Below are 17,023 nucleotides of genomic sequence, written 5' to 3' on the forward strand. Positions count from 1 at the left end.
CCTTCCTTATCAGTGCTATTTAAATAGAATTACAGATATTTCTATTTGTCTTAAAGAAAACATGAATAATGATTTTTCCCTCTCTTTATTTGACACAGGAAACCAAAATAGACTGTGTCCAAGTGGCCACAAAAGGTAGGTTGAAATTGTGGGATATTCTCCTAATTAATGTTCCTTAAAAGTTTATTTTAACCTATGTTTCAAAACTTTTTGAACTGGAACTTAATTGAAAATAAAATGTGTGTATTATATATACATATATATATATGCATGAATGCATGTATGTATTAGGATCTGATGGTAATTAACATTGACTGACTGGAACTCATATAGATACTTTTTAAAATAAGAAGCTATATTTCTGTGTTCCAAGCAGTTTTCAATAGTTACCTTTTTCAGATTTTTTCAAATGACTTTAATTTTTATATGATCTCAGTACACGTTTTTTAATCCATAGTGTCATGCCTGGTAGTACCACATCTAGTGAATCTTCATATGCAAAGGAATAAAATATCACCCACTATTTTTAAGTAGTTCTCTAGTTATAATAGCAGTAGAAAGTGGAGTCTACGCGGGCTTTTTTCACTGGTGGTGCGTGTCTCTCTGAACCTAGTAACCAGGTTATGTTGCTGTGGAGCATCTATTTCCCAAGCCTGGTTAAAACTCTCTGAGAGAATGTGATAGAGGATGAGCTGCAAAAGTGGGTAGGGCGAGTTACCCTGAGCTCCCCCAGCATCTCCTGCAGAAGCAAGTGCAGACGTGTGTTTGTGAACATGAGCTGTCATCTGGTCAACTTGACAGTGTTGTTTTAACCGTCACATACAGAAATGTATAAGAAATGCTTTGAGAAATTTAAAATGTCGTCTTAAAATGAGGCAATATAAATTAACACTCAAAGTCAAATACAATCATTTAGATCATTGGAGTAACCATGAATACAGTGGGAAGTTCTGTATGATTTAATTTAGAGACGATGGTAAAAACACATCATTAGGTCTGTAGCAGAAGATTTAATCAGGTCATACTTGATGAGTTGTGTTGGATAAAATAACTTTTTGTTGTTGTTTAACTCTCAGGTGAACATAGTTTGAATATACCATGATGTACATGTGCATTTTCAAAATTCTCACTGAATTCTTATTTTGTGAACTTACATGACTCTTTTAGTCAGTGTTAGCTCAACAAATATTTCTTGGTTGCATGTTTTGTGCCAGGCATTGTGTGAGGTACTCACCTCATTTGTATCTTGTTTGTCCTCATAGGCTTGTAGTTCTATATCCAAAAATCTATTTATACTAATTTTAAAACACTCAATTTTTATATCATATTGTACCTAAGTGACTTTATGTATAGAAATAAATTGATATTTACTGAAATTATAGCTGCTTATGTGTTTCATAAACTGCCGTATGCTATCAGCTATTAATTATTACAGGACGATGAAGCCCTTGAACCAGGTATCCATTGATGCTCTTAGATCTCAAGATTATGGTCCATACTCAACAACAGGAATTTCAAAATACTGCTGTATTACATTTCACTTACACTTAAGGTCTGAAAAAGTAAATCCTGTTCCAGGGCCCCTAGTTTATAATGCTTAACGTTTAACGTCACAGCTGAAAGTTTTGAAATCTCTTTCATGCGTGTGTTCTCATTTATTTCTTCATTACTATGAAAAGGGAAACAGGTACTGCTATTCTTATTTTTAAGATGAGGAAAAGGTGTATTTTTGGAGACGAATTGACTCACCAAGGTGACTCAGCTGATAATCTGGGGGTCAAGGCCTGCACTCCTAGCCCCAGTGTTTCTTTCACCATTGCTCATGGCTCGTCACCCAGCAGCACCTCTGGCCAGTGACAGTATTGTGTAGTGTAAGCATCAGACCTCCTCTTGGTGAGGATTGAGTCACTGCCCAATTTACTGTGAAAACAACAAAATATCTGTCATCATGCTCATTTACATAGTTAAATAATTATATAAATAACACACTAGTAAATGTGGAAACCTGACAAGTTTGCTGTTTTCACAATAGATTGAATTAGATAGTGATTTGGATCATTTTCTTCCATCAGCTAGATTTCATCAATATTGTAATTTGTTTTTCAATTCACCAAAGGATGATTAAGCAATCAGATGACCTGATTGACTAAATATTCCCCACTCCTATTTTCTGAGTCATTTGCAAACATTTACACAGCAACAAACTCTATCCAAAGAACCTCTTTTGGGGAAAGAGGGACACATTTTAATATTTCCTGCATAACATTGTCATTCTGTTTCATAAAATCACAGCACAAGAGGAAACCTTGGAAGATATTCTCCCTCCAGGCAAAACTACACTGTTTTGTGCTATTTTATTAAGTTCTACATGGACGGATTCATCAACCCTCCTTTCAGCACAGTGTAATGTTTCACCACCTTTTAGTCAGAAAATGTGTCCCTATTGATACTAGAAATTCTCTTGCAACATGGGAAGCCATTCCATCTTGACTACATAGTCAAAACAGAGAAATAGGAAGATCTAATAACTGTTGATACCACAGAGTAAAGATGTTTAAAATGTAGAAGAGTTCAAACATCCTGAGTGTGTGTTGCCACATACTGCTCACAGTGCGATGGCTTAATTGAGTTTTCAGATACAGAATTGCTTTCCTAAGCAACATTTTGAATGTACAAAGATTTCAATGTTCTCCTGAAACAACTGTTGACAAGTATCTTTATAGAGAAAGTATGGAGGTGGATTTGTTTTCACTAAGAGCTAGCTTATAATTTAAAGTAAGGGTATGTCTCTTAAAAATATATTTCATACTATTTATAAATTTAATGCAGTGATTATTTTAATCATATTCCAAAGACATATTTTGACACTCATCATCTTAAATATAAACTTCATAAAAGTTAGACAGGAAAAAACCTAAGCTGTATTATTATATATCTCCATACGTGTGGGGGATTGCCTATATTTTTATGCATCCTCTTCGTTTATGCACCTAGATGAATTTCCTATAGGTACAAGTTAACTATAGGCAAACTCATCACAGAATATTCTCTCTTGAGTTAAAAGATAAAGACACCATAAACCAGGGTATACGTGATGTTTATGTGTTACCTGCCCAATTCAAGGGATTGTTTTTAATTGTATAGTGGAGTGAATAGAGTAGCTTTTAAATATTTCTTAAAATCTATGAAATTGTATTTTTCATTAACATTCACATTTTTATAGTTGGATTTTTTTATGACCATTTGGTCCAACTGTGTTTTAGTGATTAGTGTATGTGTTTTCTTTAGCTTTTATATTCACCATGGTGGTCTCATGGTAACTAGTAGGGTGGAAACTCTTTGCAGCTAGTTTTAGAAGGCTTCATTGATGATCAATTCTAAACTTGTAGGGTACACTAAAAAATCCAAATGTGTTATTAGTAAGTTAATTTCTTATATTGAATGAGGTCTATTCATTCTAATTGATGTAACAATCAGTTTAAAGTATGCACATTATATTAATCTTCCATAAAATAAGATTTTTTCATAATATGTTAGCACCGCATGTTTGTCCTTGGCAGTATAGCCATTTGGGAGCTTTCCTGTTGTTCATTTAAAAATTATTTGAGTGCCTCCTTGATTTATAAAAGTGCTTTGGGGTTTTTTTGGGTTTTGATATATGGGGAGCAGTCATATATGTTAATTTGATCCTCTCCTTGCTGTTATTTGACTATTGTCTAGCTCAAGCTTGTACAACCCATGGCCCTTGGGCCACATGCAGCCCCGGATGGCTTTGAATGCTTCCCAGCACGAATTTTTAAGCTTTCTTAAATCATTATGAGATTTGGCTGGGCATGGTGGCTCACGCCTGTAATCCCAGCACTTTGGGAGGCTGAAACAAGAGGACCACCTGAGGTCAGGAGTTCAAGACCAGCCTGGCCAACATGGCGAAACCCCGTCTCTACTAAAAATACAAAAATTAGCCGGGCGCAGTGGTGGGTGCCTTTAATCCCAGCTACTTTCAAGGCTGAGGCAGGAGAATCACTTGACCCCGGGAGGCAGAGGTTGCAGTGAGCTGAGATTGCACCATTGCATTCCAGACCAGAAGACAGAGTGACATTCCATCTCAAAAAAAAAAAAATATATATATATATATATATATGAGATTTATACATGGGCTTTTTTTTTTAAGCTCATCAGCTGTTGTTAGTGTATTTTACATGTGGCCCAAGACACTTCTTCTTCTTCCAGGGTGGCCCAGGGAAGTCAAAAGATTGGACACCCCTGGTCTAGCTAGAAGTCAAAGCAAAAACTTCACGTAAACACATGCTGAATTATTTTCCAAAACTATTAGAAAAATCAGACTGTAAGCCTTAAACAAAAAGAAAACAAAGCATTTTTCAATGTTATATTTTAAGGGACTTTTTCATGAAAAAGTTATTCATTTCACTGTTTTTGTAAGTAACATTTTATTTAAGTTAAATTTGTAATGGAATGTGAATATGGCTTATTGGAAGACCTTGAGGAAACTTTGAAGGATTTCCATTGTCCTGATATAATTTCTAGATTCAGAAATTTGAATGTTTCTTTTTTTAATCACTAAGCTTTTTGAGAAGTTTCTACAGACTGTTTTTCTGTTCACTGTTTTGTTCAATGAAATACCATCCTTTGTAGGCCATAATGGTACAGAATGAAAGAGCGCTGATAAAAGAACTGAAAAGAATGTCTGTTGAGATGTAAAGCTAATTAAGATTCCGTTTAATTTCTCATATTCTCTACATGAGAAAACCAATTATATAGCAAGACCACTCATATATGCTAATCTGCTGTTATTTAGGCTTTGGATTTTGAAATAGGAACATTAACATTCATCGTTCAGCATTTTATAGAGAAAATGTACTTTTTTCATGTCTGAAATAGTCTTTATAATGTACATCATGAGTATATTAAGGCCCCCTGAGAAGTTCCTAAAGAAAAGAATCCGGAAAAACCCTATGCTTTCCAAATTTATTTGATCCGAATTCATTTTTTAAGGAACACTGGAGTCATGCAAAATGCAGTTAGGTAAATGCTGGCTCAACAAGCTTCCAGGAGATCCCGCTGCACGTAACTGAGATGACCATTTAGAAGTCTGATCCACAGGGACCTTACATTTATCAGCACCAGATATTGTCTTCAAAGTGTAGGATTGGAATTTCTGTCTTTATTCCAATTTTATACTTTGAAGACAATATCTGGAGCTGATAAATCCTTTATCTTTTTTCATTATAAAAGAGAATATCACCAAACTTAGTGATAATTCTCTTTTATAATGCATCTTTATTGATATTTTAAGTTAGAGGTCAGCAAACTTTTTATGTTAAGGGCCAGATAATAAATATTTGAGGCCTTGTGGGCCATATGGTCTCTGTCACAACTACGCAGGTCTGCTCTTGCTGGGCAAGAGCAGCCATAGGCAATACATTAACAATTAAGCATGTGTTCCAATAAAACTTTATTTGCAAAAGCAGGTGGTAGGCCTGCTGGCCCATTTGAAGATAAAGTATAGCATAATCAAATTTTTTCCTCATGACTAAAAATAATAGTTACAAATAAACACTTTACAAAGCAGAACATAGAGATCATATAAAAATCCTTCCTGGTATTTATAATATACTTTTTACATGGTAGACTTAGCTTCTGATTATAGTTTGAGTTCCTTTTTATTTGTGAATACCTGGCTGACTGACATAGCTATTTTCGAGTAACTTTTTGTTCATATTGTTTACCTTTTTGGATATTAGGTGCTCTGTTTCTCTTTTTCTTTTTCTTTCTTTCTTTCTTTTTTTTTTTTTTTCTTGAGACAGTGTCTTCCTCTGTTGCTCAGGCTGGAGTGTAGTGGCGCGATCTCTGCTCACTATTGCAACCTCTGCCTCCTGTGTTCAAGCAGTCCTCCTGCCTCAGCCTCCCAAGTAGCTGGGACTACAGGCGCAAGCTACCACGCTAGACTAATTTTTGTAATTTTTTTAGAGATGGGGTTTCACCATGTTATTCATTTGATCTTAAACTCCTGAGCTCAAGCGATCCACCCACCTCAGCCTCCCAAAGTGCTGGGATTACTGGTGTGAACCACGGCACCTGGCCTGCTCTGTTTTTCTATAAAACAATTTCATTTTTCTCAAAAGGAGAACAGGTCAGACTCTCCTACAGATAATGCGGAACTGCATAGGAGTATTGGTTGGAGCAACAGTAGTCTATGACCAAACAAAAATGTTATGTGTATAAAACTTGGAATTGGTACCAACTTTGTAACCATCTTAGAAATAACATTTTACTGTGTACAGCTTATTATAACAGTATTCAAAATTGCATAATACGTCATATTAAGAAAATTATCTCTGTAATGCGTTAATGCACTGGGAGCTGCCTATTCTCTGACCAAACTGTTAGTTTGTTAATCTCACTTAACAAAACTAGAATATGTTCATTAATAATGTGTGAAAGACTGTTACACCATTTTTAACTCAGTTGCTGCAGTTGTCTAGTTGTAAGCAGCACTGCTTGCATGGTGCAGAGGGATATTTCAAAATATTATGCAGCAGCAGTTTTGGGTTTAATTGTCTGCAGATGGTAGATGATCTATTTTCCTTACTCGCTGCCACATTTCTAATAGTACCCAGGCTGTTCCATGTAAATTAGTAATCTTTCATGTAAGCCTGTCCTTAATTTTCCAATATTTTTTTGCATCATTTTCCAGCTGTATCATGTTAGAACTGATGTTTTAATTTTCTATTTTTTTTAAATATCTGTGTGTCATTAATGTTAACCACTTAAACACAACTGCTGAGCTGTGCAGGCAAACTAAGAAGCCAGCCTGGTCTGCTTCAAGACTCTTAATCATTTCTTTGTTCACATGTTAACCATGATAACTATAGCAAAGGCAATTCGTAGTTTCTATTCTTTTCCAACCAATACTTGGAGATGCATTTTTTATTCTCTTAAAGTGAAAAAATAAAGTTCCTGAATGGAAAGCTGCATGAAATTTAGATATCAGAGAAATTTTTCTACATAAAAACGTTTTTAGTGAAAGAGTGTAATATTCTTCTTTACAAAAGGGATTTAGTAAGAAGAGAAAACATTGTGATTTCAACAATAGAATGTTGAAAAACCTAATACGTTCTAAAAGCCTAAAGTTTGGATCACCAGAATTAACAATGAATCTTTCAGCACCACACTCAATTTCAATTGGAAACACTGCTCAGTCTTCACCTTTATTTAGGATGAATGTTTTTGGTTTTGTTTTCCTTTTTTTCTTCTTCAGTTGATCTATCCAAGATCTCAGCCAAACCTTGCAACTGTGTCATAGTTAGAAATCCAACTGCCTGACTAGAGCTTGTTTAAGGGAAAAGAATTCAGAATATTCAGCACCTTGCTATGTTTTTTTTTTCTTTTTTTCCTTTTCTTTTTGTTGTTGTTAGAACAAAGTTGAGACAATTTGATATACTGATGGGGATTCTTCTTGCTAGCCTAGCTTCAGTCTGGCTTTTTTTTCCCTCATGCATGCTGACCTGGAAATCCTCCTTTGCCTTAGCTGCGATAATCGTGACTCAGCTTACAACACCTTACATTCGCATCGCCCCCGCTGCAGGCGACGGCCAACTAACAGGTCAGATGTTCAAGTATAGACGAGTCATCTTGCCCATTTCCCACTCATTTTTCTCAGCTCTGTTTCCCCTCTACATTTCCTCCTTTGCTTAAGGCCTGTTTACAATGTTTCAGACCCTTGGTACAGACCTTTGCTCGTATTAAATTAAGTGACATGCTTGGCCTCTTCTGTGTGCACATTTATATCCATGCATTAAGTACAACTCCACTGCATGTTTTCATTGTGTGTTTGGTCTGTTGGTATGTTTCTTTCTAGACTAATGTTATATAGAAATGAAATTTGCTGGACTTGAAATAGCAATAACATCAAACAGGGTTTCCAACAAAATACATAAAGATATATTCCTAGTTTTCCAAATTAGTCTAAAATGGTATTCAGATTTGAGGGTGCAAGAGATTTATTTTTTACCTTGCCTGGTCTAGTTTGCACATACATTTAGCTATACACAATCTTGGCTGCCAGTAGTATTAAACGAAGCCCCCCAAAGGTGTTTAGGGTGGCAGTGTTCTAACAGCTTTGTGTGTATGTACAATAGTTGCAGAGCTGATTGCATTCCTTATAGATCCTTGTTTCAAAGCATAGTGTTTATATAAATCATGCAGTGGCATATCTGCAAGTCAAATGCTTTGAATAATTTAGGAAAGTTTAGAAAAATTGAATGGCTTAGAGTCATGGAGTTGAACTGTGCTTCCTTATACCAAGAGAAGTGAGCTTGTTCACTCTTCCCTCTAAAGCCTTATAGACATCTCTATACATTCATATAGGAAAAGAGTCCAGTAAATTACTTCAGATTGAAGGTGAGTAGTTAGTGAACTCCAAAAGACAAACTTTTTTGCTTCAGCAAAGGCAAGTCATTGTCAAGATTTCTAACATGATTACCTGGGCAGGACTCAAAATTCTGGTTTCAGAAGCACCTGCTTACAGTCTAGGCCTGATGAAAGCCAAGTAAGAAGCAGAAACTACTTTCTATATGATTTTCACTCCAGCAATTGTTTTTTGTGTGTGAAACTAGGCAATGTCCCCTAACATTTAAGAAAATGGTAAAGCTTAACTCATGGTAGTAAATTACAAATGTTTAAGTTGTTCTGTGAACTTATTATTTTGGACAGTAAAGAAAACTAAGCCTCAGGAAAATTGTAGACTGATGTTATAAGGTAAAGAAATGTAAAATAATTCTATTTCCTTCTCCACTGGAATTCTGTACATATTTTCAGTTTTAAAGCTATCAATTTATTGACAGTTCTGTTGCCCTTGCCTGCAAGTTTCTTTTAAGAGTATTTCTTTTCCTGATTGAAGTTCTACTTGTTACAGACTCTTCCTGCTCCTGAACTTCTGAAGTGTTCTTCCCACAAGTAAAAGTATTTGAGGGACAGTGCCTTTCTTAATAAGTCCTCCCCTCTAAAACCTTGACCTTTCAGGACTGGCCTGTGGCACTCTGTGTAGGGTTAGGAGTCCATCTTGAAGGTTATTGGGATCCTTCAGCAACTCTGACCACCCATTGTGTCTGAGCTGGCCCCAGACTCATCAGTACATTGTTAAAAATGGGTTGTTCCCACCTTCATAAAACAAGTACTTACGAAATATAATTCAGTAGTCCTTTTACCAAGCTTTACCTATAATCCACTAACTTCAGATGAAGCATGCTGTTTACTAGGAATGAAGTAAGCGAGGCTTCTGAATATAGTTTTCACTCTAAAACTCGCCTGATTCAGAAGATACTTCATAAAGCAGCCCCCGTCGTAAGGCATTTAGACACAGTGAGTGTCATTATTTTGGAGCTAGTCTGAAGGACACACACACAACTGCAGTGCATGGCTGCTATTCCTCCTAAGGGCTACAGGTGATCTACCTCATTTACTTTGGTTTATTAGGGATTAAAATGATGGTGTATCAGAATAAGCCTCAAAAACCAGTAAAAAACTACTCTTGTTCTTTCTTCAGTATTTACTGCTGGTTTTAATGATGGTTAGTCTTACCCAGATAAATTCACACTCAAATAATATTTCTTTTGCATTTTCCATTTGCATCACCCATCAACTTCGATAGCAGTGACACTGTCTTTTTTAAGGGATTTATTCATGAGTCATACTGCAAGCCTGAGACTTAATTCATTCAGTCATTTATTTGACATTTATTGAGCACCTTATGTGTGCCAGGTATGAATCGACCAACTCTTTTCAGGAGTTTTACTTTGTATGGTTGCCTAGACACCTTGGCATCAAGTACATTTGCATTAGTAACCCCAAAACCTACATAAGTGCATACTCAGATGAGTGAAAAATTGGTATCATACTTATCATTTAGCAAAGCTAAGAAAAGACAGCAGTTTTATAACTGATGGGAACCAAAGGACCTGTATTTCAAACCGTTTCTCACTGTGGTAAACAGCCTAGGAAGTGGTCGGTGTGACAGCTCTGAACATTTTCTATCTGTGACCCATTCAACCGTTGTGTTTAATAGATCAATCCTGTCCCTTCCAGAAGCCAATAGAAGATATAGGAGGTATACATTCTGAAGTCTTCAGCCATTTTTTGTTCATTTTGTTCTAACTGTGCTGACATCTTGCCCCTAAAAATCCTATTTGATGCTATACTTGCACTGGGAAGCTTTTGTGAGATGATGAGTCCTTTGCCTTGCTGTCCCTGTTGTACTGGTACGTGGTGCTTGCTGGTTAGGTTTCCCTTGGTGTAGGTGGGCCCTCCCCTACTTGTCTACCACCAATGAAAACAAGAACCTTGGTGATCTGACCCCAGCACCTAGGACTGTGCCAGGCATGATAGCCACTCAGGAGGCTGAGGCAGGAGAATTGCTTGAACCCGGGAGGCAGAGGTTACAGTGAGCTGAGATCAAGCTACTGCACTCCAGCCTGGGTGACAGAGTGAGACTCTGTCTCAAAAAAAAAAAAAAAAGTGCTCATAAATATTTCTTGACTGAGTTCATTGAACGGCCCAGTTGTCAGGAGGGTTCCAGAGAAGGAATTTGTGGAATGCTAGGACATTTCATGAGCAGTCCTGTCATTGCACTAGGGAGTGTTGCTTAAACTTCTTGACCCCAATCAATGATAAGAAATACATAACTACCCAGTACTGTATATACACATATACATACATGTACATTTAACTGTAATGAAAACTTTTAGAACCGTACTTCCAACACTACTCACTGCAAACATAAGATATACCCTGATTTTTGTATTCTGTTCTACATTATTCTTTTTCATTTTTTTAAAAAAAATTCTGGTTGCTGCCTTCTAAATTGATTTCATTTCCCGTTAATGAGTTGTCATCCACAATTTTTAAAAAAATGCTTTGCTAAGTTACTAACTAGATTTAGGAGATAGTAAAGGGGAGTGGAATGTCTGATTGGAATGAAGGTTCTGTCTACCTCAGAAATCCTACTCTAAAGAGTACACACAGAGTAAGTTCTAGAAATTGGAAATGCCCCTAGTCTCTTTCTTCCTTTTATCTCGCGATTCACTGTTCATAATACAGAAATGATTTGGGAAGAAAGTAGAAAGCTATACATGGTAGGAATTTCTCTTTAAAAACTTTTTATTTTTCACATATATCTAGGCTTTTTAAATTAAGATATCTTTGTTTATGATTTAATAACCCAGCCAACCCTGACATGCTGTGGAGAATGCTATATGTGTGTGTATACATATATATATATATATATATATATATATATATATATATATATATATATATATTTTAAATCAGTAGACCTTTCCATTGCAAATAAAACAAATCCTAGGTGTTTCAACTCACAAAAGCATGAAACAGCATTGTCTGTCTGTCTTGTTCCCAGTGTAGCCCACAGGCACCCAGGAAGTGTTTCAAATTGTTTGCTGAATGACTGAATGAATAACAGTTGATGACCTGTCTTACTAAATTTATTCCTAGGTATTGTATAGCTTTCATTTATTATTGTGAGTAAATTTTGATTGAGGGGAGGAATATTTTGAAATTGGTTTATTTTGTCTTCTTTTGACTGATTTTATGTTACTTTATGCAAGATTACAAAATATCTCTTTTTAATATGTATATATATATAAATTTAATAAGCTTTTCCATTGCAAATAAAACAAACCAATGGTTTTTCAACCCACTTACAAAAGCATAATTTCGATCACCCATTTCTTTTGGCAAGAGCCATAAAAAGGTTGAATGTTAATTGATTTTCTAAGAGAATGACCCAGCCACTCCCACCAACATTATCTGTTTTCCTCCTACTCTGCTGACTGTCTGTCCATTTCTCTACTTCCCACCAGTCAGATCCCATTTCACATCCTAAGTCCTCTTTATCTTCAGTAAACCGTGGCAGAGCTAAGATGTAGGTAGATAATGTCTGTCCTTCTGGGGACCCAAGGTTCTCTATTTGTAAGATGAAGATATAACTGATTGGATCTTAGCCACACTGAGTAGCAAGGAGGACAGTATATGGCTTGAAGATGGTGGGATTGTTTACTGAACATTAGCTTAGTTAGTAGCAGTAACAGCAGGTACAAAGGTCCGGTGGTGTGATGAAGCATGGTCAGATATGAAGAATTGCAGAAAGGTCATCATGGCTGGAGAGCAGAGAGCGAAAAGGATGTGTGGGGTGAGCAGTAAGGTGATACAGGCAGAGCAAGGCCAACTGTGACCGTGTACCTTACATTAAGGACTTTGGTCTTGATCCCAGGAGGAGTGGGAAACAATTGGAGTGTTTTAGGAGAGACAGAAAGGATCAGTTTTGCACTGTGTACTCCAAGCCACACTAGAAACATTGGAGAAGAGATGAAAAAGGCCAAAAGACCAAAAGTAAAACTATAAGAAATGGAAGACTGTCCAACACACTGGAAAAAAAAGAACAGAGTAAGTAGATGTGAATAGAAGAGGTAAAAGCCAGGAATTAATACAGTAAGTACTGGTCATGGGGAATGGATCAGCTGCAGCCAGCATGGAGGAGCACATGCTAGGGAACTTAAGGGACAGGGTCAGCCATATCAAAGGAATGCTTAGAATCCCTTCCAGGGGCCATATTTTATATATCTTTAAACTTTCCTCAGCCTGCCACTCAGTGCTTGGCACATGAACGGCACTCAGAGTCCAGCTGTATTGTTTTTTTTTTTTTTTTTGATGGGATGAAGTTATTTGTAAAAGATAAAATTCCCTTGAAGGGTGAACTAATTTTCACACTGCTTTTTAAAAAAAATAACATCCTTGCCACAGTGGCACTTCCACCTGTGACTGCAGTCAGGGTGAATGTGGTTTCAGGAGGGGCAACTGGACCAAGAGCTACACAGACCCCCTCCAGTTAGCCTTCCTTCAGACGGTGCATACAGTTTAGCTCTGACAGAAACCAAAGTTGCAGCTTTCTGTCCCTGAAATATGTAGCTTTAGGGAGCTGTCCTGTGAGCACTATCCTCTACTACTAGAGAAGCTATCATTCATTCATTCATTCATTCACTCATTCATTGTTTCCATCGATGCGCTTTCACCCCCTAGGAGAGCTGGCCCTACCATGAGCTCTACATAAGAGAGGAGGAACATTCATGGAAGTGTAGGGTATGCTCTTTGCTCTGCAGGAACTTATATTTAGTGCCTTTGTTAAGACCAACATAAACAGTTCAATAAATGCTCCACTTCCATAAGCTTACCAACACCTTGAACTATTTGTAATAGTGGTAAGTGGGTAATGAACTAAGTTAACATATACTCAGTTGCACTCGAAAACGTACTATCTCTATGATACCAGAGTCATTTTCAGTGTCAGAAGCTTCAATTTAACCTTTTGAGAGAATTTTGGATAAAAATTAAGGGAAGAAAATGCCTCCTTTAGATTTCTTTGTAAATAAAAGATGGCTAAACTCTTCATTTAAGCAGATAACCAACTGATTGAAAGTAGTGGCTAACTTAAAACTACCATTTTCCAACTAACTAGGTATCTTACTTTTTGTCAAATGTAGTATTCTGTAAATATAAGATGATTAACAATTCACACACACTGTTGTGGGCATTTCATATTAAATGGCAGAGGGGGATATCAGTGCTATGTGTTTCAGCTACGGAAGTTAATATAGAGGGTTGGTGTGAGGAGAATTTGAGATTTTTGAGATTTTCAGCATCTCTTTCAAGGGCTGCTTGAGGATTCTGAAATTTCCTTTCTGGCTAGAAAGAATGTAAAATGAGGGTAAAATTTTATTCTTTCTGCAATACCAGCTGACTGCATTTTAATGGGCTATAGTGTCACTGTTGATTTATTGCCCTTTTTGTTCTTTTATGTGTTATATTTGTCATTTTGCTGTGGCAGTTTCATCTATAAAACAGTATAGTTACAAGAAAATGGTGAGAGGATACAGGCATGCCATGAGGGATGCTGTTGCTTTTTTCTTGTCATTTTTTGGAATGGAATACTGAGTCAAATGTCAAGTATTTGATTTCAGAAACAATATATTTTAAAATCTCTATATTGCACTGAAATAGTATTATTTTCCATTTGTATTATGTAAACTTAAGAATTTCTATGTAAAAGATTTTCAATGTATAAAAACAATTTAATTTTTTGATACCATTTTGTGGTTTTCTTTTCTATCAGCAGTGTGATGAAGGAAACCAAAACAATATTTTATACTGTCTTTTGTTTGCTTAAGGCATAGAGCTTTCTGGCTTGAATGGCATATATTGAAATTTCATATTTTAGGAAACCTAACTTTTAATTTTGACGTTAATTTGGTGTATTACGCATATCCAAAAAGAATACTGAAAAGAAAGTTTTGAGCTCAAAATTAGCCAAGAGTTTGGTAAAAGATACGAAATACTATGAAAAAGAAAGTACTTTCAGTTTAAAAAACACTTGAAGATTTTTGCATGAAAGATTTTATATTGATAGTGAAATTGTTCTTGCCTTTTTGATAAGGAAATATATTATTTCAATTTTTAAGTAAAATTAAACCAGTTCATTCTTGATGTTAATAAAAATGAGAAAGGCTGAATGTTTTTTAAGTATTTATCAAAGCTGAATAACAATATCTGTGTCACTAGTTCTTTATCTTTACTCTGGTGACTAGCATGGAACTAGACACATAGTTGCTGTTCCCTGGCTGTACTGTTGATAGATACCAATTGTGATATTTTGATTTTCATCCATTTATTTATTTTAGGAAATTATTACTACAATTTAAAGTATAAGGAATCAATATTCAGTCTAACAGTTTTCAGTCTAAAGATCCCAGTGATGTCCCTTAGCATCTGTAGGCAAATGGCTGTGTTGTACTGCTGTGTGATTAACGTTGTGGTTGACTTTGGATTTAGGCTCTCTTGTACATAAACACTTTTAGATTACTATTATTATAAAATACCTAGTATTTGTGAGAGTTCTTTGAAAATATTTATGGTTGTGTTCCAATATATTAGATCCATTCAGAATGGAAAGGAAGTCAGAATTTCCTTCATCATCATAAGACAGCAGGATGTAGAGGAGGCAACAGATCAAGAAAATATCAAGAATTAATTTAGAATAAATGATACCCCTTTTTGAAGAAAGGATTCTTGTTTTAAATACTTTCACCAACCTTGTCAAAAAATCAAGGGAGAAGTCAGGCTGGTGAATGGAAAGAGAAAAAGCACAGTCCTTAGAGGAGATGCACCTCATTTGCCCTTTCAGCAATATCAGTGTGAAACGTGTTCTTCCATGTCTCCAATGGGCTGAGAGTGAGGCCCAAAGTCTTTTAAAAGTTGTCTTCTAAGATTCTATCATGTTAAAAATATCACCTACCTCCCCATTCTGCAACATGCACATACTACTTTTCTACTTTTAGGATTGCTGCTGTTGTTTTTAATGTGAAAGGATCTTGGATTTGGCGTTCATTTCTGATTATTTCTCAAGTCATGGCTTTTCCAGCTTAGCTACCCTATATTCTTGAAATAACCTCTCTCTGTCTGGGGAGGTTGTCCTTAGGAAAAGGGGAGGAGAGGTCGCTCTCCATGGTGGAACTGTTGAGTGAGAGCCGTTGTCCAGCTGCTGTCCCATCTCAAATGCTTGTTGACTGGAAAGCCTGGGCTCCATGAAACCGCAAGGCCAAGCATGGTGCATCTTCTGGGAGCATCACTTTCCTTGATGATAAATAATGCAAAAACGTTTTTGTCAAAAATTGATGTATTGTGGAATGAAATGCAACATTTGCATGCTTTATTAGAAAGATCAAAAGTCTTAAAAGAAAGATCGACAGTCTTAATAAAAATGTCAAGCTTGCAGTGGGCCACCTAAGATAAAGCTGAGCTTCCTGCTGGAATTTGTTCTCTCTCCTTCCCTTAATGGTACAGATGATAGGAAAGTGTACCTCAGGGGTAGACTCCAGATCATTTTCAAACCCACATGGCCCACTTCATTGGCAGTTTTCTAACATGTTAGATAGGAATCTGGACTTAACAGTCCCCTAACTGTGATTTTAAAAGGGAAATTCACACAGGAACTCTGGAACCCAATGCACACAGTTTAGAAAGCATGTACACAGCAAGTAGTGGGTTCAAGTCCAGGCTTCTTGGGGAAATCTCTTGATCTCTCAACATCTCAGCTTCCATATCTGTAAAACAGGGAGAATACTATTTCTTTACCTCATAGTTAGTGGTGAGACATCGAGTGCAAAAATGCACGTAGAGTAGAGCACAAACCTGGCTCCAAGGGAAGGCAGTGGAAATAGCAGTTGCTGGTGCTTCTCATGTGGCTTTGTTGTTGTTACTCTAATATAGGATTGTTTTATGGCCCATGAGGCTTTCAAGATGACTCAGTAATTAATCCAGGCCACTGCCAGTCCCAAGTTGACACTGCAGCTCTTCAGAGACATTCAAAATTGAACTTCTGGGAAAATGAATGGATTTCTTGATAGTATGTAGGGTATTATTTACTTGAACACCATGTGGATGCTGTGGTCTCCAGGAGCACCGAAGCAAGAGAGGGACATTATTATTCTGTCACATGTGAAGACCTGTGATGAGTCTCCCACTGATGATATTTTCCATTTACCTGTCTTTGGGATAAAAGCAGCATCAGCATGACCCAGGCTGTTACCTTGCTGTTGGCAATGATAAGCAATGCTGGTGTTGGTGATGCTGATGAATAAAGTTACTGCATTTTCAAATACAGCTATTTTATTTCAAGCAGTAATAGCCCAAAACAGAGCATAACCTATTTTATACTTCCCTGCCACCCAGCACACTGAATAGAACACCAGGCTCCCTTTCTTGGCCATTTGAGGTTCCTTTGTCCCTCAGCGTCCTTAGTTTAGATGAGGATGCCTTTCTTTGTGTTTATATTTCAACAGCATCAGTTCTCAAGAGAGCATGAGGGGATGCACTTTAATAGAACTCTATTATATGGATTATAGATATCTTATGTAATAACCTTTTCAGACACTAA

The 17,023-nt window shown here is 36.5% G+C and overlaps 1 protein-coding gene across 36 annotated transcripts in view; it reads left to right on the forward strand.

Annotated features, from left to right (window-relative positions):
• PTPRM (protein tyrosine phosphatase receptor type M) overlaps positions 1–17,023 on the forward strand; it is an 839,541-nt gene that overhangs the window by 547,377 nt on the left and 275,141 nt on the right. For 20 of the 36 annotated variants that reach the window (XM_011525712.3, NM_001105244.2, XM_047437714.1 and 17 more), the window contains one exon: positions 99–135. In XM_011525712.3, the coding sequence (XP_011524014.1) occupies positions 99–135 (37 nt within the window). Of the gene's footprint in view, positions 1–98; positions 136–7,549; positions 7,625–17,023 lie in introns of all 36 variants that reach the window. The other 16 variants (XM_011525708.3, XM_047437715.1, XM_017025911.2 and 13 more) reach the window with 1 other exon arrangement.

The sequence above is a fragment of the Homo sapiens genome, chromosome 18 (assembly GCF_000001405.40).
Source record: "Homo sapiens chromosome 18, GRCh38.p14 Primary Assembly".
In the NCBI taxonomy this organism is placed as follows: Eukaryota; Metazoa; Chordata; class Mammalia; order Primates; family Hominidae; genus Homo; species Homo sapiens.